At 44.8% G+C, this 23,046-nt stretch overlaps 1 long non-coding RNA gene across 1 annotated transcript, besides 6 other annotated features; it reads right to left on the bottom strand.

Annotated features, from left to right (window-relative positions):
• Window positions 1-463: 463 nt before the first annotated feature.
• OLMALINC (oligodendrocyte maturation-associated long intergenic non-coding RNA) lies at window positions 464-15,242 on the bottom strand. Its single transcript, NR_026762.1, has 3 exons — window positions 14,806-15,242; window positions 7,370-7,602; window positions 464-781 (listed from the first exon to the last, which is right to left on the bottom strand). It is a non-coding gene; the product is annotated as an oligodendrocyte maturation-associated long intergenic non-coding RNA (long non-coding RNA).
• Window positions 13,913-14,482: an enhancer, noted in NCBI's record as "NANOG-H3K27ac-H3K4me1 hESC enhancer chr10:102134093-102134662 (GRCh37/hg19 assembly coordinates)". NCBI's record gives its function as "activates a minimal SCP1, AML or CMV promoter by ChIP-STARR-seq in primed H9 embryonic stem cells {active_cell/tissue: H9 hESC(primed)}" and the evidence as "EXISTENCE:reporter gene assay evidence [ECO:0000049][PMID:30033119]".
• Window positions 14,483-15,050: an enhancer, noted in NCBI's record as "NANOG-H3K27ac-H3K4me1 hESC enhancer chr10:102133525-102134092 (GRCh37/hg19 assembly coordinates)". NCBI's record gives its function as "activates a minimal SCP1, AML or CMV promoter by ChIP-STARR-seq in primed H9 embryonic stem cells {active_cell/tissue: H9 hESC(primed)}" and the evidence as "EXISTENCE:reporter gene assay evidence [ECO:0000049][PMID:30033119]".
• Window positions 15,051-15,620: an enhancer, noted in NCBI's record as "OCT4-NANOG-H3K27ac-H3K4me1 hESC enhancer chr10:102132955-102133524 (GRCh37/hg19 assembly coordinates)". NCBI's record gives its function as "activates a minimal SCP1, AML or CMV promoter by ChIP-STARR-seq in naive and primed H9 embryonic stem cells {active_cell/tissue: H9 hESC(naive and primed)}" and the evidence as "EXISTENCE:reporter gene assay evidence [ECO:0000049][PMID:30033119]".
• Window positions 15,051-15,679: a biological region, named in NCBI's record as "OCT4-NANOG-H3K27ac-H3K4me1 hESC enhancer GRCh37_chr10:102132955-102133524".
• Window positions 15,120-15,249: an enhancer, noted in NCBI's record as "active region_3892". NCBI's record gives its function as "activates an Ori minimal core promoter by ATAC-STARR-seq in GM12878 lymphoblastoid cells {active_cell/tissue: GM12878}" and the evidence as "EXISTENCE:reporter gene assay evidence [ECO:0000049][PMID:35858748]".
• Window positions 15,350-15,679: an enhancer, noted in NCBI's record as "active region_3891". NCBI's record gives its function as "activates an Ori minimal core promoter by ATAC-STARR-seq in GM12878 lymphoblastoid cells {active_cell/tissue: GM12878}" and the evidence as "EXISTENCE:reporter gene assay evidence [ECO:0000049][PMID:35858748]".

Genomic DNA, 23,046 nt, shown 5'->3' with positions numbered 1-23,046 from the left:
GAAATAGATGAAGAAAATCTAATCTCATTCAAATATGTAGTTGGAAAAGGGAGGAGGATTTTTTTTTTTCTTTTTGAGATAGAGTCTCACTCTGTCACCCAGGCTGGAGTGCAGTGGGCCAATCTCGGCTTCCTGCAACCTCTGCCTCCCAGGCTCAAGCGATCTTCCTGCTTCAGCCTCACAAGTAGCTAGGAATACATGCACATGCCACCACGCCCAACTAATTTTTGTATTTTGGTAAAGATGAAGTTTCACCATGTTGTCCAGGCTGGTCTTGAATTCCTGGACTCAAGTGATCCATCCACTTTGGCCTCCCAAAGTGCTGGGATTATACATGTGAGCCACCACAGGGAGAAGGATTTCAATAGATAATTGTGGATATTCTTCTTTGATACTACACTAAAACTCAACAAGTGTAGTGTCACGCACGTCCTTGTGAAGAGACCACCAAACAGGCTTTGTGTGAGCAACAGGGCTGTTTATTTCACCTGGGTGCAGGCGGGCTGAGTCCAAAAAGAGAGTCAGCAAAGGGTGGTAGGATTATCATTAGTTCTTATAGGTTTGGGATAGGTGTACAAAGTACATTCTCAAGGGCGGGGGAAGAATATATGGTATCAGTTAGCGTGGGGCAGGAACAAATCACAATGGTGGAATGTCATCAGTTAAGGCTACTTTCACTTCTTTTGTGGATCTTCAGTTGCTTCAGGTCATCTGGATGTACACGTGCAGGTCACAGGGGATTTGATGGCTTAGCTTGGACTCAGAGGCCTGACACTCCTATCTTCTTATATTAGTATGAAAAACAAAACAAAATAGTGGTGAAGTGTTGAGGCAGCGAAAATTTTTGGGGGTGGTATGGAGAGATAATGGGCGATGTTTCTCGGGGCTGCTTTGAGTGGGATTGGGGTGGCATGGGAACCTAGAGTAGGAGAGATTAAACTGAAGAAAGATTTGGGTATAAGGGGTGATATTGTGGGCTTGTTAGAAGGAGTATTTGTCGTATAGAATGATTGTTGATGGCCTGGATGCAGTTTTGTATGAATTGAGAAACTAAACAGAAGGAAGACACAAGGTCCGAATAAGAGAAAGAGAAAAATAGGTATTAAAGGACTAAGAATTGGAAGGACCCAGGACATCCAATTAGGGAGTGCCCAAGGGGGTTCAGCATAATTATTTGCTTGGTTGGCGAATTTTTGGGGTCTATCCTTGAGTTTTTTTATGTTGTCATACACCAGGCCAGATTGATTTAGGTAAAAACAACACTCTTCGTTTAAAAATATACAGGGTCCTCTTTTTTTAGCAGTGAGTAAGTCGAGGCCTTGGCGATTTTGGAGGAAAGAGAAATGCAAAGCCAGCAGTTGTTTGTTAAAGAAGGATTAGAGGGCCGGGCATAGTGGCTCACGCCTGTAATCCCAGCACTTTGGGAGGCTGAGGTGGGCGGATCGTGAGGTCAGGAGATGGAGACCATCCTGGCTAACATGGTGAAACCCCATCTCTACTAAAAATACAAAAAATTAGCCAGGCATGGTGGCAGGCACCTCTAGTCCCAGCTACTTGGGAGGCTGAGGCAGGAGAATGGTGTGAACCCAGGAGGCGGAGCTTGCAGTGAGCCAAGATCACACCACTGCACTCCAGCCTGGGGGACAGAGCAAGACTCCATCTCAAAAAAAAAAGAAGGATTATAAACGGGGCTAGGAGAGAGTGAGATTGATAGTGTGGTGGAGATAGCTGGGGAGAGGTAGAGGGTGGCATAAGATCGGGAACCAGAATAAGAATGAGTATAAAAGTAAAGAATAGGACTTCATCAGGGTGAAAGTATCGGAGGGTACCTTGCCACTGAAGATCTATCCACTTCAAGAGAGCCTTAAGGGTGGTGTTTTGAGGTAAAACCAGGAGCCACTAAATACCAAGAGGCTGAGAAGCTGCTTGGGTGATTTGACTAATAAAGGCCGGTCTGTTTTCACACTGTATAGAGGTGGCAAGGCTAAATGGAGGAATTATGTCTGACAGAAGGGAAGAAATGACCGTGGTGGCCTTCTCACACCCTGTGGGAAAGGCCTGTACCCATCCAGTGAAAGTGTCTACCCATACCAAGAGGTATTTTAGTTTCCTGACTCGGCACATGTCAGTAAAGTCAATTTGCCAGTCCTGGGCAGGGGCAAATTCCCCAGCTTGATGTGTAGGGAAGGGAAGGGGCCTGAACAATCCCTGAGGGATAGTAGAATAGTAGATGAACACTGAGAAGTGATTTTCTTCAGGACAGATTTTCACGATGGAAATGAAATGAGAGGTTATAAGAGATGGGCTAGCGGCTTGTAACCTACACGGAAGAGGTTATGAAATGACGACAGAATAGAATGGGCCTGTGAGGCTGGAAGGAGATATTTTCCTTGATCCAAGAACCATTTGCCTTGTGTGGGAAAAGATTGATACGTGGAAGTTTCAATGAGGGAGTAGGTGGGAGTGACCGATAAGAAGGAGAAAAACTGGCCCTGAGGGACAGAAGTTGGAATGCTAGCTGCTTCTTTAGCTACCTTATCAGCATAAGCGTTGCCCTGAGTGATGGGATCTGATGCCTTTTGATGGCCCTTGCAGTGAATGACTCCAGCTTCCTTTGGAAGTAAAGCAGCCTTGAGAAGAGTTTTTATTAAAGAGGCACTAATGATGAAGGACCCTTGCATAGTGAGGAAACCTCTTTCAACCCATATAACAGCATGGTGGTGGAGGATATGAAAGGCATATTTAGAGTCAGTATAAATATTGACACGTAGTCCCTTTGCAAGAGTGAGGGCCCGAGTTAAGGCAATGAGTTTGGCTTGCTGAGAGGTAGTGGAGCGGGGCAGAGCGGTAGCCTCAAGGATAGATGTGGAAGATAGTATAGCATAGCCTGCCTTTGCCGGTGAATGGCGATTAGGCCTGGTGGAACTGCCATCAATAAACCAAGTGTGATCAGGGTGAGGAACAGGAAAGAAGGAAATATGGGGAAATGGAGTGAATGCCAGGTGGATCAGAGAGATAGTCATGGAGGTCAGGTGTGGTATCAGGAATAATGTGGGAGGCCGGATTGAAGTCCAGGCCAGGAACAATGGTAATTGTGGGAGACTCAGCAAAGAGTGAGTATAGGCTGGGTGTGGTGGCTCATGCCTGTAATCCCAGCACTTTGGGAGGCCGAGATGGGCAGATCACTTTAGGTCAGGAGTTCAAGACCAGCTTGGTTAACATGGTGAAACCCCATCTCTACTAAAAATACAAAAAATTAGCCGGGTGTGGGGCACACACCTGTAATCCCAGCTACTCCAGAGGCTGAGGCAGGAGAATCGCTGGAACCTGGGAAGCGGAGGTTGCAGTGAGCCAAGATTGTGCCACTGCATGCCAGCCTGGGAGACGGAGTGAGACTCTGTCTCAAAAAAGAGTTGAGTATAGCTGAAGGAGCCAGGGAGTGGAAAGTATATGCGTCAGGTATGAGGAAGAAAATAGATTTTGGAAGTTATGAGAACTGTAGAGAGTGAGTTGAGCATAATGTGATTTTGAGGGCCTCTAAAAGTATCAAAGCAGCAGCAGCCACCACACACAGACATGAGGGCTAGGCTAAAACAGTAAGGTCAAGTTGTTTGGACAGAAAGGCTACAGGGCATGCTTCTGGCTCTTGTGTAAGAATTCCGACCACACAGCCCTGCACTTTGGCTGTGTGTAATGAAAAAGTTGGGATGAGTTAGGGAGAGCTAGTGTGGGAGCAGCTTTTAGGGCTGTTTTTTAAGGAATGGAAAGGGGAGTGGGGAAAGGATTTAGGATTTATGGGGTCAGCTAGGTTTATTTAGAACAGAATAATGGGTTGTGGGAGGGAGGTATTGAGGATAGGAGGGTATATGGGTTTGGCACTATGGGGTGCATAGGCAAGACAATTTTGTTGATAAGGCACAGATCCTGAACTAACCTGTAAGACTTGTCTGGTTTTTGGACAGGTAAAATGGGGGAATTGTAAGGAGAGTTTATAGGCTTTAGAAGGCCATGCTATAGCAGGCGAGTGATAACAGGCTTTAATCCTTTTAAAGTGTGCTGTGGGATCCTTTTAAAGTGTGCTGTGGGATGGGATATTGGCATTGAGTGGGGTAAGGGTGATTAGGTTTTAATGGGATGGTAAGGGGTGCATGATCGGTTGCCAAGGAGGGAATAGAGGTGTCCCATACTTGTGGATTAAGGTGGGGAGATACAAGGGGAGGATGCGAAGGAGGCTTTGAACTGGGGAAAAGGGCGGCAATGAGGTGTGGCTGTAGTCCAGGAACAGTCAGGGAAGCAGATAATTTGGTTAAAATGTCTTGACCTAATAAGGGAGCTGGGCAGGTAGGGATAACTAAAAAAGAGTGTATAAAAGAATGTTGTCCAAGTTGGCACCAGAGTTGGGGAGTTTTGACAGGTTTAGCAGCCTGGCCATCAATACCCACAACAGTTATGGAGGCAAGGGAAACAGGCCCTTGAAAAGAAGGTATTGTGGAGTGGGTAGCCTCTGTATTAAGAAGGGGACAGACTTCCCCTTCACTGTAAGAGTTACCCAAAGCATCTGTGATGGTCCAAGAGGCTTCTGAGGCGATTGGGCAGCATCAGTTTTCAGCCGCTAAGCCGAGAACATCTGGGAAGGAGTCAGAGAGTCTTGGGCCAGAGTTCCAGCAGCTCTGGGAGTGGCTCCTGGGTAAGTTGGACAGTCTGATTTCCAGTAGGGTCTGGCACAGATGGGACATGGCTCAGGAGGAATCCCAGGCTGCAGGCATTCCTTGGCCCAGTGACCAGATTTCCAGCACTTGAAGAAAGATCCTGGGGGAGGCGGTCCTGGAGGAACACCTGGCCGCTGCGATTCAGGTGTTTTGAAGTTCTTGTGTGCTGGAGATGTGGCTGGGGTTTCTCTCACAGTGGAGGCAAGTAATTGCAACTCAGAAATATGTTGCCTCTACTCTATTACTGTACACCTTGAAGGTGAGGTTAATTAAGTCCTGTTGTGGGGTTTGAGGGCTGGAATCTAATTTTTGGAGCTTTTTCTAATGTCCGGAGCGGGTTGGGTAATAAAATGCATATTGAGAATAAGACGGCCTTCTGGCCCCTCTGGGTCTAGGGCGGTAAAGCATCTAAGGGTTGTTGCCAAATGGGCCATGAACTGGGCTGGGTTTTTATATTTGATGAAAAACAGCCTAAACGCTAACTGATTGGGAGAGGTCAGATGAAGAAAAAGGAGCATTAACCTTGACTACGCCTTCAGCTCCAGCCACCTCTTTTTTTTTTTTTTTTGCCTTGAAATGTTTTTAATAGAATTGGTCTAGCAGTCATTCAGGATTTCAGGGTCCCTGTCTGGACACTGCCAACCCACAGCTGGAGGGGCATTTAAGGCACATCATTTTGTGATTAGAATTACACAAAGTTTGATTAATATTACAGCTGCAAAATTAACATACACAATTTTCACTCATAATTTAAAATACTTTGTTTTGATGAAATGCTTTGCTTTCACAATAGAAGATCAGTAGTACACAGTATATTGAACTCTGTAACAAAATTATTTTTTGAGAAATACAGAAGTGAGAAATAGTGATTTCCTCAATTTGTTTATAGTCTTATCACAAAGTAGGCCAAAGTTCAGTATTAAATAAATAGATATCCTAATAAAAGTTTGTACAAGTCTTCCTAAGGAATTACATTCGTAAGACTGTTTACCTTCTGTTTGACAGCAGTGACAGGAACGTGGGGATTCCCACTCATGACGAGTCCCTAGCACTTGGCTCCTAGCACCCACAGCCTAGGCGCACTGCATCACCTGGTGGGGTGCAGCCTGGGCTTCTGCGAGTGAGGTTTCCTCACCTGGAACTCTGGTTCCATGTTTGTGCTTAGCCTGTGCGATTCTGGTAAACACAGAAAACCTGCCTGTCCACCCCCAGTGCTGAAGACTGACTGGTCAAGGAGGTGTTAGTGAGAGTGTTGTGTTCACCATGTGGAGATCAGGCGGTGATTACCGCATCTTCTTTGCTGACTTTAGTAACTGGGTGTCCAGAGAGGAGTGACCGGGAGTGGCCGAGCGGTTGCCTGGACTCAGCTTCTGATTCTGCAGCCGGGAGTCAGATGCAGGCCCAAGGGTCAAGGGGAGTTGTTCAGCGCCTGGAATCACCATGCACTGCGCTGTGGGCCGCACGACACTCCTGCTGTGTTCTCCCAGGCACCAACAGGCACTTGGAAGGCAACTTTGCTCCTCTGGCCACCCGGAGACCTCTTGGCGGTGCAGATGGGACAAACTGGGGGCCTGTCAGAACACCCACTCATTCCAGGAAGGCCAGGCACCAGCCTGCTCTGATGAAGTCAGGATAGTCAGCCATCTCTTTAACAGGAAATTGTTGGGCAGATCGGGGAGAGCTAGTCGAGGAACGAAACTGTAAGCTGGACCAGGTGTGAGGAGGGGAGGTGATAAAAGGATTATAGGGTGGGGGAGCAGAGGCTAAGTGAGAATTGGGACCTGGCTCAGCCTGGCGAGGAGCAGCCTGGGGAGAAGGGGGGAGGTCAGATGAGTCCATAGAAAAGAAGGATTCAGAGGACTCGGAACTTGGGGTGGAGACCGAAGGAACAGAAAGGAGAGAAAGAAGAAAGATTTGGGATGAGTCACATTGGGAGCAGAGACTAGGGAGGGACCAATGTGTAAAAGAATGCCTGGACGTCAGGCACCTCAGACCATTTGCCCATTTTATGACAAGAATTATCTAGAACTTGTAGGATGGAGAACTCGAAAGTGCCGTTTTCTGGCTATTTGGAATCATTGTCGAGTTTGTATTGGGGCCAAGCGGTGTTGCAGAAGAAAATAAGACACTTAGGTTTTAGGTCAGGTGTGAGTTGAAGAGGTTTTAAGTTTTTGAGAACACAGGCTAAGGGAGAAGAAGGAGGAATGGAGGGTGGAAGGTTGCCCATAGTGAAGGAGGTAAACCCGAGAAAAGAGAGGGTAGAGGCACGGAGAAGGCGGGTGGGGCAGCGGGGGGCATTGAGCAGCCCTGGGCTGCAATGTGGGTGAGCAGCCAAAGCAGGTGTCCCCGCAATTGACTTGTCACCAAGGGAATGTGGGTGAATGACCAAGGCAGGCATCCCCGTGGTGATCAGACACCAATGGAGTGTGGGTGAATAATCAGGCAGGCGTCCCCACAGTGATTAAACACCAAGGGAAGACTGTCTTCCCGAGTCCGTGACTGACGCTGGAGTTTTGGGTCCACAGATAAAATGTGTCTCCTTATCTCTACTAGAGAGGAAAAAGAACGGGAATTGGAAGGACAGGGAGATTGAAGGGTAGTGAGAGAGGAAGATTGAAGGGTAGCAAGAAAGGCTGGAGAAGAGTGAAAAGACCACTTACCCGATTTGAAATTGGCAAGATGTTCCTTGGGCTGGTTGGTCTGAGGACCTGAGATCATAGGTGGATCTCCTCACGGAGTGAGGGCGACAACAGGGCACTGGTCTCCCAAAGGAGTCCTCCTGTCCTGGGTCTTCAGCACCAAATGTCACATGCATCCGTGTGAAGAAACCACCAAACAGGCTTTGTGTGAGCAACAAGGCTGTATATTTCACCTGGGTGCAGGCGGGCTGAGTCTAAAAAGGAGTCAACAAAGGGTGGTGGGATTATCATTAGTTCTTATAGGTTTGGGATAGGCGTACAAAGTACATTCTCAAGGGCAGGGAGAATATCACAAAGTACCTTCTTAAGGGCGGGGGAGAATATATCGTATCAGTTAGGGTGGGGCAGGAACAAATCTCAATGGTGGAATGTCATCAGTTAAGGCTATTTTCACTTCTTTTGTGGATCTTCAGTTGCTTCAGGCCATCTGTATGTATACATGCAGGTCACAGGGGATATGATGGCTTAGTTTGGGCTCAGAGGCCTGACACGTAGTATCTTAAAGGTTAATTGCACTGGGAATTTGAAACCATAGCAATGAATTTTTTGTATTTCATTACATTATACTTCATTGGTCTAACTTGCATTTCTTTTTTTTTTGTTTTGTTTTTGAAACATGGTCTTACTCCATCACCCAGGCTGGAGGGCAGTGGCACAATCATAGCTTCCTGTAACCTCAAACTCCTAAGCTCAAGCCATCCTCCCACCGTAGCCTCCCAAGTAGCTAAGACTTCACGCGCATGCCACCATGCCTGGCTAATTCTCTTACTCTTATTATTTTTAGAGATAGGATCTTGCTATGTTGGCCAGGCTGGTCTCAAATGCCTGGCCTCAAGTGATCCTCCAGCCTCTGCCTCCCAAAATGCTGGGATTAGAGGCATGAGCCACCACACCTGGCCTCATTTGCATTTTCAATGCACCTTTTATCCATGCATGATTTTGTAACATTATGTTTTGGTCATTTGAAAAGTATTGGTTCACTGAGTTATGCAAATCTTCTAAAATGTTGGCACATTTTATTCTATAATATTTAAAAATTGACATTTTTGAACATCACCACTGATAGCATCAGAAGAGTTTTTAATTATTAGGAAGCTGTCAAGCTTAGTACCACATGCAAGATCACTACAATTCTGAGTTTTGCTTGAAAGCTATTTTTTCTTTTCTTTTTTCTTTTTTTTTTTTTTTTGACAAGATCTTGCTCTGTTGCCTGGGCTGGAGTGCAGTGGTACAATCATGGCTCACTGCAGCCTTGGCCTCCCAGGCTCAAGTGCTCCTTCCACCTCAGCTGGTGCATGCCACCATGCCTGGCTAATTTTTTTTTTCTTTTTGGAGAGACTGCCCAGGCTGGTCTCAAACTCCTGAGCTCAAGTGCTCCTCCCGCCTCAGCCTCCCTAAGTGCTGGGATTATAGGCATGAGCCACTGCCAAAAGCTCAAATTTTATCATTGGAACAAATATTGCAAGTTGTTACTTTGAAGTAACAATTTTACTTTATTAATGTTCTTGAAGCTGCAAAATACCAAAGTCTGAACAACCAGTTTGTCAGTCATTCTTTCAAACAAAAAGGATATTACATGAATAAAGGGGTTAATTCAGCTCACAACTATAATGATCACACTAATGTTTTCCCTCAAGACAACCACTGTTCTTTGACATATAGCAGAAGTACTTTATAAGTACTTCCTACTTCCCATTTCATGCCACAGAATTTTTAAAAGGTGCTCTTAAGGATCAAAATTTAATAAATTAATAATTTTTATTTTATCAAGAACATCTTGGCTGGGCATGGTGGCTCACACCTGTAATCCCAGCACTTTGGAAGGCCAAGGTAGGTGGATCACCTGAGGCCAGGAGTTCGAGACCAGCCTGGCCAACATGGTGAAACTACTAAAAATACAAAAATTAGCCAGGCGTGGTGGCAGGCACCTGTAATCCTAGTTACTTGGGAAGTTGAGGCAGGAGAATCGCTTGAACCCAGGAGGCAGAGGTTGCAGTGAGCCGAGATCATTGCATTCCAGCCTGGGGGACTGAATTCCCCTCCAAGTGCAGGGCAGTGAGGAATGTAATGCCCACTGGTACAGTTTGGTGCTACTACCGTGATTCCTATCAAGGTGCAAAGAATTTCCCACCATCAGAAGAAATGTCAATGTGATGGTGAAAAAAGGCAAATAAGGCTTAATATCACCATGAACATCATTTTGGTCTTATGGATACCCTGAAAATTATTTGGGGTACGCTCAGGGGTCCATGGACTACACATCGAAAACCTCTGCATAAATGCCTTTCCCCAAAGCCATACATCTATTAAGTAGTAGAACCAGTACTTGAAACTGGGTCACACTGACTCCTAGCCTAATGGTTTCTCTATTGTACCATAGTATGCAAAATGAATGATATAGATATGAAGTATAATAAGAACTAACATTAAGGGCCGGGCATGGTGGCTTACCCCTATAATCCCAGCACTTCAGGAGGCCAAGGTGGGCAGATCACGAGGTCAGGAGATCAAGACCATCCTGGCCAATATGGTGAAACCCTATCTCTACTAAAAATAAAAAATTAGCCAGGTGTGGTGGGCACACATGTAGTCCCAGCTACTCGGAAGGCTGAGGCAGGAGAATTGCTTGAACCCGGGAGGCGGAGGTTGCAGTTAGCCAAGATCACGCCACTGCACTCCAGCCTGGCGACAGAGCGAGACTCTGTCTCAAAAAACAAAACAAAACAAAACAAAACAGCTCACATTAAAACCAAATAATTAAATTTCTACCAGCGGCCTACTTAGAAATGCAATTAGTATTTATCAGCCAGGTATGATCACTTTAAGCTCACCTAGTCCAGATCATAAAGACAGCTTAAACAGATTTGATCAAAACCATGAAGAAATGGGAACTAGCTTGACAATCAAAAGAGATGAGATTGACATCCATTCCATAGACTGAAAATAACATAACTCCTATTACCTTATGTTTGGTTGAAGAGCTTTGATGTGCTTTATATCATAGTCTTAAAACTAGGTGGAACCTAAGAGGTATCTAATCCATTATCTCATCCCATTCAGGAACATGTTTACAGAATCTTGGACGAGTTGAACAAATATGGTGAGAGAAGCAGCTTATTCCTCCCAAGACACTGTAGAACAGCTCAAGTTATTTGAGCTGCCTTCCTGTCCATAGCCATGCTTGCTCTCATTCCCACATAGTTTTATTCCTTTATTCAACCCTCTGGACAATAAGGAATAGGTTTATTTCCTCATTTGTGTCATATTCTAAGTCAGCTACCAAGGTCCCTCATAAACCTTCCCCCCCCTTTTTTTTTTTTTGAGACAGTCTCGCTCTGTTACCCAGGCGGGACTACAGTGGTGTGATTGTGGCTCACCAAAGCCGCAACCTCTCAGGCTCAAGCAATCCTCCCACCTCAGCCTCCCAAGTAGCTGGGACCACAGACGTGTACCACCACATCCCACTAATTATTTTTTATTTTTTGTAGAGACAGGGTCTCCGTATGTTGTCCAGGCTGGTCTTGAACTCCTGGGCTCAAGCAATTCTCCTATGTTGGCCTCTCAAAGTGTTGGGATTATAGGCATGAGTCACCATGCCCAGAGCCCTTTTTCAGTCTTAAAGTTTTCAGTTTCTCAACTTTCCTTTTTGTCTGGACCCATTCTAGGGTCTTTTATTTGTTGGTGGTTTTGTTTTAGAGGCCCAGGTGTGGCCTTTACCCATACTCCGGGCCTTGCTCCCAGTCTCGCCTCCTCCGTGCTGTGGTCCTGGGTCATCCTTCCCTTCTCTACTGATTGAGCCCTTCTTATATTCCAGGCAGTATGCTCTGGTCTGCCATTTAATCCCCAGGACAACGCTGTGAAGTGGGTACCATCAACAGTCCCCCTCTTGTTAAAATTAAGGCATTCAGCTGGGCATGGTGCCTCATGCCTGTAATCCCAGCACTTTGGGAGGCCGAGGTGGGCAGATCACCTGAGGTCAGGAGTTCGAGACCAGCCTGGCCAACATGGTGAAACCCCGTCTCTACTAAAAATACAAAAATTAGCTGGGCGTGGTGCTGCACACCTGTAATCCCAGCTACTCCAGGGGCTGAGGCAGGAGAATCACTTGAACCTGGGAGGTGGAGGTTGCAGTGAGCCGAGAGCATGCCATTGCACTCCAGCCTGGATGACAGAGTGAGACTCAGTCTCTAAAAAAAAATAAATAAAATAAAAAATAAAAATTTAAGGAATTCTAGTTTGAGTGTAGCAGGACGAGCCGCAGACAAAACCCCTTAGACACCGAGTTAAAGAAGGAAGGGCTTTATTTGGCCGGGAGCATCGGCAAGACTCACGTCTCAAAAACCGAGCTCCCTGAGTAAGCAATTCCTGTCCCTCTTAAGGGCTGACAACTCTAAGGGGGTCCGCGTGAAAGGGTCTTGATCGATTGAGCAAGCAAGGGGTATGTGACTGGGGGCTGCATGCACTGGTAATTAGAACAGAACAGAACAGGACAGGGATTTTCACAGTGCTTTTCCACACAATGACTGTAATTTAGAGATAACATAACTGATTAGGTCAGGGGTCGATCTTTAACTACCAGGCCCAGGGTGTGGCGCCGGGCTGTCTGCCTGTGGATTTCATTTCTGTCTTTAAGTTTTTACTTCTTCTTTCTTTGGAGGCAGAAATTGGGCATAAGACAATATGAGGGGTGGTCTCCTCCCTTATGAGGATTTTGGATAATTGTACAGAGCTGTGTATACATTACCTCAACAAACATATAGAACAGTTCCCTCATCCTAAAAGTTTCCTCATGCCTTTTTTTTTTTTGAGACGGTGTCTCACTCTGTCACCCAGGCTGTAGTACAGTGGTGCAATCTCAGCTCACTGCAACCTCCGCCTCTTGGGTTCAAGGGATTCTCCTGCCTCAGCCTCCTGAGTAAGTGGGACTACAGACATGTGCTACCACACCTGGCTAATTTTTGTATTTTTACAAAATACAAAAATTGTTCTATTTTGTATAACAATTATTGGCTAGGCTGGTCTCAAACTCCTGACCTCAGGTGATCAGCCTGCCTTGGCCTCCCAAAGTGCTGGGATTACAGGCATGAGCCACCCAGCCTTCTCATGCCTTTTTGCAGTCACATATGTAATTTTTAAAAATGGTACAATTATATATACATATACACACACATATATATACATATATACACACATATATACGCATATATACACACATATATACACATATATACATATATACACACATATATACACATATATACACACATATATACACACATATATACACATATATATACATATATACACATATATACACATATATACACATATATATACATATATACACATATATACATATATACACACATATATACATATATACACACATATATACATATATACACATATATATACATATATATACACACATATATATATACTTTTTTTTATTTTGAGATGGAGTCTCGCATTGTCACTTGGGCTGGAGTGCAGTGGCACAATCTCTGCTCACTGCAACATCTGCCTCCCAGGTTCAAGTGATTCTCCTGCCTCAGCCTCCCAAGTAGCTGGGATTACAGGCACCTGCCTCCATGCCGGGCTAATTTTGTATTTTTGGTAGAGACAGGGTTTCACTACATTGGCCAGGGTGGTCTCAAACTCCTGACCTCGTGATCCACCTGCCTCAGCCTCCCAAAGTGCTAGGATTACAGACGTGAGCCACCGTGCCCAGCATATATACTATTTTTTAACCTGAGTGTTTCTAAGATGCACTGGGGGAAAAAAGATGCATTGAACATCTCTTTATGGCAATTATATAGTTTTGCAACATAATTTTAATGGCTGTATTCTATCAAATGAATGCTTTATAATTTATTTAACCAATGTCTTACTGTTTTGTACATACATAAACAATGTCCTGCTTCCTCTTCCTGGAATTATTTTCTTATTTCTATTACAGTATCGTAGTTTGCTTTTTTTTAATTTTTCATATCTTTCTGATACTTCTTTGTCTGTTTTGCTAGCTCTGTGTCCTCTTTTTTTTTTTTTTTTTTTTTGAGACAGAGTCTCACTCTGTTGCCCAGGCTGGAGTGTAGTGGCACAATCTCAGCTCACTGCAACCTCTGCCTCCTATGTTCAAGCCATTCTCCTACCTCAGCCTCTCGAGAAGCTGGAATTAACAGGCGCCCGCCACCATGCCTGGATAATTTTTAATAGAAACAGGGTTTCACCATGTTGGCTAGGCTGGTCTTGAACTCCTGACCTCAGATGATCCACCCACCTCAGCGTCCAAAGTGCTGGGATCACAGGCATGAGCCACCACACCTGGCCTCTGTGTCCTCTTTCTACCTTCCCAAGATTCTGTACTTGAATCTTCTTTTTTTTTTTTTACTTTTGAGACAGGGTCTTGCTCTTGCTATGTTGCCCAGGTTGGAGTGCAGTGGCACTATCTCAGCTCACTGCAGCCTAGACCTCCCCAGGCTCAGGTGATCCCCCCACCTCAGCCTCCCAAGTAGCTGGAATTACAGGTATGTGTCACCACACCCGGCTAATTTTTGCAGTTTTTGTAGAGTCGGGGTCTCACCATGTTGCCCAGGCTGGTCTCAAACTCCTGGGCTCAAGCAATCCTCCTACCTTGGTCTCCCAAAATGCTGGGATTACAGGCATGAGCCACCGTGCCCTGCCCAAATCTTCTTATTCTATAATTTCTCTTTAGGTCATCAATTTCTCTCCCGATCCACTATAAACCCTTTGGATCTCATCTCTACTTTTCTTCTCGACACCAGATCCTAATTCCCAACTGTCTACTGGGTATTACATCCACAGGGATGTACTTCTTGCAATTCAAATGCCACATGTCAAAAACTGAACTCCTATTCCCTTTGCAAAATCCCTCTGCTTCTCTCTTTCTCTCTCCTTTTTGCTACCTATTTCAGGTAGGGGAAGTGGTGTCCTTCCAGCCACTCAGGCTAGAAACCTCAAAGTCCTCTTCTGATTGCTGTCCTCACTCATCTCACACATCCAGTCAATAAAGTGCTATTGATTCTCCTCCCAAATGCCTCTCAGCTTGTGCCCTTCCTTTCCATTCCCACCGTGACTATCCCAGCTTTTGAGGTCCCATGACTCTTCACCAGAGTGGTAACAATAGCTTCCCAACATCTCCCAGCCCCCATCCCCCCGCTACTCTGCTCTGTTGCCATGAGAGTTAACTTTGCGAAACAGAGAGATTATTTTCCTCTCCTGCTTGAAAATATCTGATGACTTCTTATCACTTACAGAAGCAAGTCTAAACTTTCCACTGTCTCCTCCCACTCTCCCACCACACACCACCTTCCTGCGCCGGTTGCGTCAGCCTCGAACGTTCCTGAACGCTTTGCTGTTCCTGTGCTTTTACTCACGTTCTCCCCAGTGACTGCCCAATCTTTAGTGTGTTTTGCTGACTCCTGGCGCTCTGGCTTTTCCATAAGAGGCGTTTTTGCACGATTGCAGACAGGAATAAAAATGAGCTCTGCCTACTGGGCCGTCCTGGTTAGCAAGGTCTACACCACCTCAAAGGCAGCTATGGACTAAGAGCCCACAAAGAATCTCGGGTTATGAGGGAGGGGCTGGCCGTGGAGACGGCTAAAGCGCCTCATTTGTCTTCCCAGCAGGGAAGCGATGGGACCTCGGCGGGCAGGGAACGCGATCTCCACCCGTCTGGAAAACTCTCTGAGTTCTGGAGCACTGTTCGCGGCCGGACTGAGTGGCATGTCCGCATTTTCCCCATTCCAGGGTAGGGCAGACTGAGGTAGGAGAGCAGAGCCCCGAGGCCGACTCCCCGGGAAAAAAAAAAAAAGGAAAAAAGGCTCCCGCCGACCTGTGATTCACAGGAGCAAGAGGCTGGAAGGACCGCGCCTCCTGATTGGAGCAGACAGAATCAGACAAGCTTGGGGGCCGCTGATTGGCTCCGGCGTGGTCAGGCGCTGGTGGGCTGTTGTAGGTGTAAATAGCTCTTGAAGGCCCGGGTCTGTGACCGGCAGTAACCCCGGCGAGAGTGGGTGGAGAGGGAGGCGCTTCCTCTCCATTCATGTCAGCTGCCAGCCAGGCCCGGGCAGGCCGGCCCTTTAGCGGAGGGGACTGGGCAGGACGAGGCGATGGGTGTCTTCGGAGATCTTAAGCTGGGCTGAAAGTTAAACACTCACCCGCAGGGCTGAGCCAGAGCTGGCACCTTCCACACCGAGCCCCTTCCTATCTGTGACTGTTGAAAAGTTTAATGTGATGTTCTGGGTGAGGACCGAGGCGTTGGAGGTCGCTAGGAGGGTAGTTTTACGGAGTCGCGTTAATGGCTGTAGTGGGTGTACCTTAGTGACCACAGGGAGGTGGCAGCCTGTCCTCTCCTCCTCCTGGTCACCGTATTCTATTTGCGGAAAAGGTAAGAATGGAGGCTTGGATAGTCTTTCTACTAGAGATGCAACTTCTCCCACCCTCTACTCCAGGGGAAAGAGAAGTCTGTGGGGAACTGGCTTTGTAAAAAGTAGGAAAGAGGAAAGGGACAAATGGGTACACGTTAAGAAGAGGGTGACTCTCATACATTGCTGGAGAAAATTTAAAGTGGTGCAGCCACTGGGGAAACAGTTTGATGGTGCCACAAAAGGTTAAATATCAAATTAGCATCTGGCCCAGCAACTCCACTCCTAGATATAAACCCTAATAAATTATAAACGGGTACTCATATTTGCACTCAAATGTTCATGGCAGTGCTATTCACAATAACCAAAAGGTGGAAGCAACTCCAGTGTTCATCAATTGATAAATCAGTAAACCAACTGTGGTGTATTCATACAATGGAATATGAATAGGTAATAAACAGGAATGAAGTACTGATATATGCTCCAATGGGGATGAACATTGAAAGATTATGCCAAGAGAAGGAAGCCAGACACAGAAGGTCATATATTGTACGATTCCATGTATAGGAAATATCCTGAAGTGGTAAATCCACAGAGACAGAAAGCAGACTGATGGTCACCAGGGGCCGAGTGTGGGTGGGAAGATGGGGAATCACTGTTGAATGGGTTCAAGTTTTCTTTTGGGGTGAAAATGTTTTAGAACAAAAGGTAGTGTTTGCACAATGTTATGAATGCACTAAGTGCCACAGAACTGGTCAATTTAAAATGGTTAGTTCGGCCTGGCACGGTGGCTCACACCTGTAATCCCAGCACTTTGAGAGGGTGGGGCGGGCGGATCACCTGAGGTCAGGAGTTTGAGACTAGCCTGGCCAACGTGGTGAAACCCCATCTCTCCTAAAAAAAAAAAAAAAAAGAAAGAAAGAAAGAAAAAAAAAGATGGGCATGGTGGCAGGTGCCTGTAATCCCAGCTACTCAGGAGGCTGAAGCAGGAGAATCGTTTGAACCCGGGAGGCGAAGGTTGCAGTGATCCGAGATCATCCCATTGCACTCCAGCCTGGGCGACAAGAGCAAAACTCTGTCTCAAAATAAATAAATAAAATAAAATGGTTAGTTTAGCCGGGCACGGTGGCTCACACCTGTCATCCCAGCACTTTGGGAGGCCAAGGGAGGAGGATCACTTGAGCCCAGGAGTTTGAGACCAGCCTGGGCAATATAGTGAGACCCCTATCTCAATAAATAAAGTGGTTAGTTTTATATTGTGTGAATTGTCTCTCAATTAAAATGTATCTCTCTCTCTCTCTCTCTCTCTCTCTCTCTCGCAAACAAACTGACAGACTAAAAGGTGAGTCCTTCCTGCTGTCCATAATTCTCTAAGAAAGAAATAAGAAACAGCAATTCTGAGTCCTCTGCTGCCTTTCACTTCCACTTTCCTCTCTGTTTTTTGAAGTCTGGCATGGTCCTGGTTACTGACTGCTCCCCATGGAAAATGGCCAGGAGGGAGAGGGCCCCTTCCGCCCCTCTGAGAAGGTCCTCGCCTGGGCCCAGAACCACTGTGAGTCAGCCCGGCATACACACACTGAGCCTTTGTGAGCGCTCTGTGGCCAGGGTGTAGCTGGCTGGGCGGGACCGCGTGGGGGAAGGGCAGGTCCGGGTCCTGAAAGTGGGAAGGCTTCTGCCTCCAGCAACCCCAGTATGGAATCTCAACTCCTTGGAGCCTGCAATTAGGGCCTGTGGCATTTGTTCCAAAGTCAGTGTACAAGAATCAGCGCTTTGCCTGCAGCACGGAAAGTTAACTACAGGTCACAAAATATGACTCCTACTCCCTGTGACATTTCACACAGTTTGTAGCAGTGACAGAATTTAGAGCAAGACATGAGCTCATTCTGTCATTTCCAGTGCTGACTGTTTAGGGGCAGGGAGACATTTCTGAAAGAGGAAGATGCTTTTGAGGAGCTCACAATCTTATAGGAGGGTGAAGTGTAGTTTAGGAAAAGTAGACAGGAAATGTTGGGTACGTATCTATGGTTTGAGAGGAAAGCTTAAAACCCAGGTGTGACTGAATGTTAAGACGGGTCAGGAGGTGGAGTGAGCTGGGTTCTTCCGGAACAGTGGATGCATCTGCTGTTTGTGCAAAACTTAAGCTCCCTGCCACTGCCACCCAGGGAGGAGGGTCACATCACCAGGCTTTGCCTCTGAGTATAACTGAATATTGCCAGGCATACAGTTGGACATATGACAGATTACGACATATCTAGTTTGTCATCTGCTCCACACCCAGTAGAGCCAGTAGTTAAGACCATAGGTCTGGAACCAGATCATAGCAACATTACACATTTTCTCACAGCTTTTTCTCCAAGTGAACTCAGTTACCTCATCAGTAAAATCCAGGTAACAATAACACCTGCTTCGGATGTGGTGCGATAACACACTGCCAAGCATTCAGTACAGTGCCCAGCTCTAGTAAATATTGTTATTGTTATTATGATTGTATCCACAAGTCTGATGGACTCAGAACTTTAATTTCCCACTCAAAAGGAAGTTAGGTCTGTGTTTATGCAGTTGCCTAAACCCCTTTAACTAAATGTAGAACATGGTATCTCGATTTTTCCAAGTAACTTGGTACAGCCAAATTGTCATATTATACTCCAGTTTATAGCAGCTTGCCTTTTCTCATGTGGCTAGTCTTTGTCCCTTTGAAGTTTGAGACTAGAGACTACATCACTGCATAATTAAGAGAACATGGACTGGGTGTGGTGTCTCATGCCTGTAATCCCAGCACTTTGGGAGGCCGAAGTGGGCAGATCACTTGACGTTAGGAGCTCGAGACCACCCTGGCCAACATGGTGAAACCCCATCTCTACTAAAAATACAAAAATTAGCCAGGCATAGTGGCAGATGCCTATAATCTCAGCTACTTGGGAGGCTGAGGCAGGAGACTCGCTTGAACCCGGGAGGCAGAGGTTGCAGTGAGCAGAGAACGTGCCACTGCACTCCAGCCTGGACAACAGAGTGAGACTCTATCTCAAAAAAAAAAAAAAAGAGAGAGAGAGAGAATATGGAGCACTTCCTTTAATCAAAAAATTTATTTTCATCAGTACTTAATATATTTGGGTTTGTGTCTCAGCTACAACTAGTGGTAAAACATTAAGAGGGTTTTTTAAAATATAATTTTTTATCAAGATATAATTTATATACCATAAAATTACTCTTTTAGTGTATGATGCAGACATTTTTAGTATATTCACAGAGACATGCAACCCTTACCAAAATCTACCTAAAGAACATTTTCATCACTCCCCACAGAACCCATGCACATTGGCAACCCTTCCCCCAGTCTCTAGCAACCACAGATCAACTTTCTGTCTCTAGATGTCCCATTCTGGACATTTCATAATAAATGAAATCATACGATATATAGTTTTTTGTGTCTGACTTCTTTGCCTTCTTTGACTTTGAATAACATTTTCAAGGTCCATCCCTATTGTATCATGTATCAGTACTTCATTCTTTTTTATGGCTAAATAATACTCCATTATATGAATATCCCACATTGTGTTTATTCATCTGTTGATGGGAGTTTGTGTTGTTTCCACTTTTTGGCTATTATATAATGCAGCTATGAACATTCATGTGCACGTTTTTGTGTGGACATATGTTTTCAATTCTCTTGCCTATATACCTAGAAGTAGAATTGCTGGGTCATATGGTAACTGTGTTTTTAACCTTTTGAGGAACTGCTATACTGTTTTCCAACGCAAATGCACAATTTTAGATTCCCATCAGCAATGCATGAGGGTCCAAATTTCACCACAGCCTCACCAACACTTATTAACTTTTTAAAAATTACAGGGCTAGGGTGTGGTGGCTCACACCTGTAATCCCAGCACTTTGGGAGGCCAAGGCAGGAGAATTGCTTGAGCCAGGAAAGACCAGCCTGGGCAACATAGTGAGACCCTATCTCTTAAAAAAAAAAAAAAATTATAGGCATCCTAGTAGGTATGAAGTAGTATCTCATTGTGTTTTTTAAAAAAAAATGTTTTAAATGTTCAGCTCCTATCTGTACCAGATCATTGTGGTCCTAAAGTAGTTTCTTGATGACTAATAATGTTGAGCATTTTTCATGTGCTTCTGGTCATTTGTGTATATTTTTTTGAAAAATGTCCATTCATATATCAACTACTTGGGAGGCTGAGGCAGGAGGATCACTTGAGCCTGGGAAATCAGGGCTGCAGTGAGCTATAATTATGCCACTGCACTCCAGCCTGGGTGAGACCCTGTCTCAAGAAAAAAAAAAAGTTTTTAATTTTGATAAAGTTCAATTTATTTTTTTTTATTTTTTTATTTTTTTAGACAGAGTTTCACTCTTGTTGCCCAGGCTGTAGTGCAATGGTGTGATCTCAGTTCACTGCAACCTCTGCCTCCCGGGTTCAAGCAATTCTCCTGCCTCAGCCTCCTGAGCAGCTGGGATTACAGGCATGTACCACCATGCCCTGCTAATTTTGTATTTTTAGTAGAGACGGATTTCTCCACATTGGTCAGGCTGGTCTCGAACTCCTGACCTTAAGTGATCCACCTGCCTTTGCCTCCCAAAGTGCTGGGATTACAGTGTGAGCCACCATGCCCGGCCTATTTTTAAAAGTTTTGTTGTTTGTGCCTTTGCCATCGTATCTAAGAAATTATTGTCTAATCCAAGGTGGTGAAGATTTACACCTATGTTTTCTCCTAAGAGTTTTATAGTTTTTGTTGATCCATTTTGAGTTAATACTTATACATGGTGTGAGGTAGTGGACCAACATTCTTTTGCATGTGGATATCCAATTGTCCCAGCAACATTTGTTGAAAAAACTATTCTTTCTTCATAGAATTGTCTAAGCATCTTTGTCAAAAATCAATTGGCCATAGATGTATGGGTTTATTTCTATACTTTCATGTCATTGATCTATATGTCTGTCTTTATGCCAGTACCACACTGTCTGCGTTACTGACCCTTTGAAGTAATTTTGAAATCAGGAAATGTAAGTCCTTCAACTTTGTGCTTTTTTGCATCATTTGTTTTTGGCTATTCTGGGTCCCTTGAATTAGAATGGATTTTAGCATCAGCTTGTCAATTTCTCTAAAAAAAAAAAAGGAGCTGGAATTTAATAAGGATTGCCTTGAATCTGTAGATCAATTTGGGGAGTATGACCTCCTTAACAATATTGTCTTTTAATCCATGAACATGGGATTTCTTTTTATTTATTTAGCAGGCCTTCTTTAATTTCTTTCAACAGCATTTTGTAGTTTTCAATGTAACAAACTTATGTACTTTTTTTGTTAAACGTATTCCTATTTGTTTTATTCTTTCTGGTGTTGTTATAAGTGGAATTCTTTAATTTCATTTTCAAATTATTGATTGCCAGTTTAGAAATACACTTGATTTTTTGCATATTGATATTATTATATCCTGCAACCTTGCTGAGCTCATTTATTAGCTTTAATATGTGTATGTGTGTGTATTCTCTAGGATTTTCTGTATACAAAGTCATGTCATCTGCAAATAGAGATAGTTCTTCCTTTCCAATCTAGATGCCTCTTCCTTTTCTATCCTGGCAGACATCTTTAGGAACTATCTTGGTTCTTCTAGGGAAACGTGAAAAAACTGGTGGCCATTTGGGCATTGGGAATTTCATTTCTATGCTGTTCTCCATTATTACCTTAATCTATTTTTTGTCCTTTTGCCCCACGGTTAATCTTGATTCCTAAACAGAACCTTAACTTCCTTATACCTTCCCATATGAAACATATCAAAATCAGGGTTCATTACTTTGTCCCCCTAAGAGCTCTTACTCTACAAATCACCCTTTCAGGTAAGCTCATCACATGTTCCTTCTCTGTCTTGAATTCAGTTGACCATGTTGATCAACTCTTTTCCACCTCTCTGATATATCTTTTTTCTTCTTCCTCTTTGGAACTTTTGCAGCTAATAATAAGAAAACAGCCCCAGATGAAATAACAGATATGCAAAATACAGATTCCTGGAGGAAGCATGGAGGTGTGTTTAATCAGAGGGAGCTCAGCCAATTGTGAAATAAGAGGAAATAAGAAAGTAGCAAAGGCCACATGTGGTGGTGTGCACCTGTAGTCCCAGTTACTTGGGAGGTTGAGGCAGGAGGATCGCTTGATCCCAGTAGTTCAATGCTGCAGTGAGCCATGATTGCACCACTGCACTCCAGCCTGGGTGACAGAACAGGACACTGTCTGAAACAAAAGACAAAAACGAAACAGAAAGCAGCAAAGAGAACAGTGAGGATAAATTGTATAAATTGAGGCTGGGTGCAGTGGCTCACATCTATAATCCCAGCAGTTTGGGAGGCCGAGGTGGGTGAATCACCTGAGGTCAGGAGTTCGAGACCAGCCTGGCCAACTTGGCAAAACCCCGTCTCTACTAAAAATACAAAAATTAGCTGGGTGTGGTGGCGGGCACCTGTAATCTCAGCTACTCGGGAGGCTGAGGCACAAGACTCGCTTGAACACAGGAGGCAGAGGTTGCAGTGGGGTGAGATCGCACCACTGCACTCCAGGCTGGGTGACAGAGGGGGACTCCGTCTCAAAAATTAAAATAAATAAATACATAAATATATTGGATCCTAGTTAATGGGAGACAAAGTAGAGACTTGGAAGAAACTGTGCAGTTACAGAATGGCTGAAAAAATATTCTGGCTTGAATATGTTAAGAAAAAGAGGGATAGGGACTCATGGCAGAAAACCGGATATTGATGAAAATGTCACCATTAAGGTCTAGCAAGGCCTCCATGTACATAGACTTTTGAGTTTGGATACTCTGAATTACTCTGAGGGACTCGTGCTTCTTGTCCAAGGTGAGGGCAACCTTAGATTAGAAAGCAAGGTGAGCTGGAGAACTGGCTCTGGGGAGCTCTTAGAAACCCAGGTATTGCTCAAGATGGCTCCTGATGGAATATGGAGCTTCTTCAAACTGTAAAAGAGTCTGCCCTTCTTTTTTCCATAAAAGGATTATCAGATAAAATATAGTAAAAGCTAGGCTGGGTGTGGTGGCTCATGCCTGTAATCCGAGCACTTTGGGAGGATCGCTTGAGCCCAGGAGTTTGAGACCACCCTGACCAACATAGTGAGACCGGCCTCTTCAAAAATAAAACTAAAAAAAATTAGCCAGGCGTGATGATGCATGCCTGTAGTCTCAGCTACTCGGAGGCTGAGGCAGAAGGATCACTTATGCCCAGGAGTTTGAGGCTA

This window comes from Homo sapiens, chromosome 10 (genome assembly GCF_000001405.40).
Source record: "Homo sapiens chromosome 10, GRCh38.p14 Primary Assembly".
NCBI lineage: Eukaryota > Metazoa > Chordata > Mammalia > Primates > Hominidae > Homo > Homo sapiens.
The sequence above is the reverse complement of the archived record's forward strand: the minus strand, read 5'-3'. Positions and strand labels throughout refer to the sequence as shown.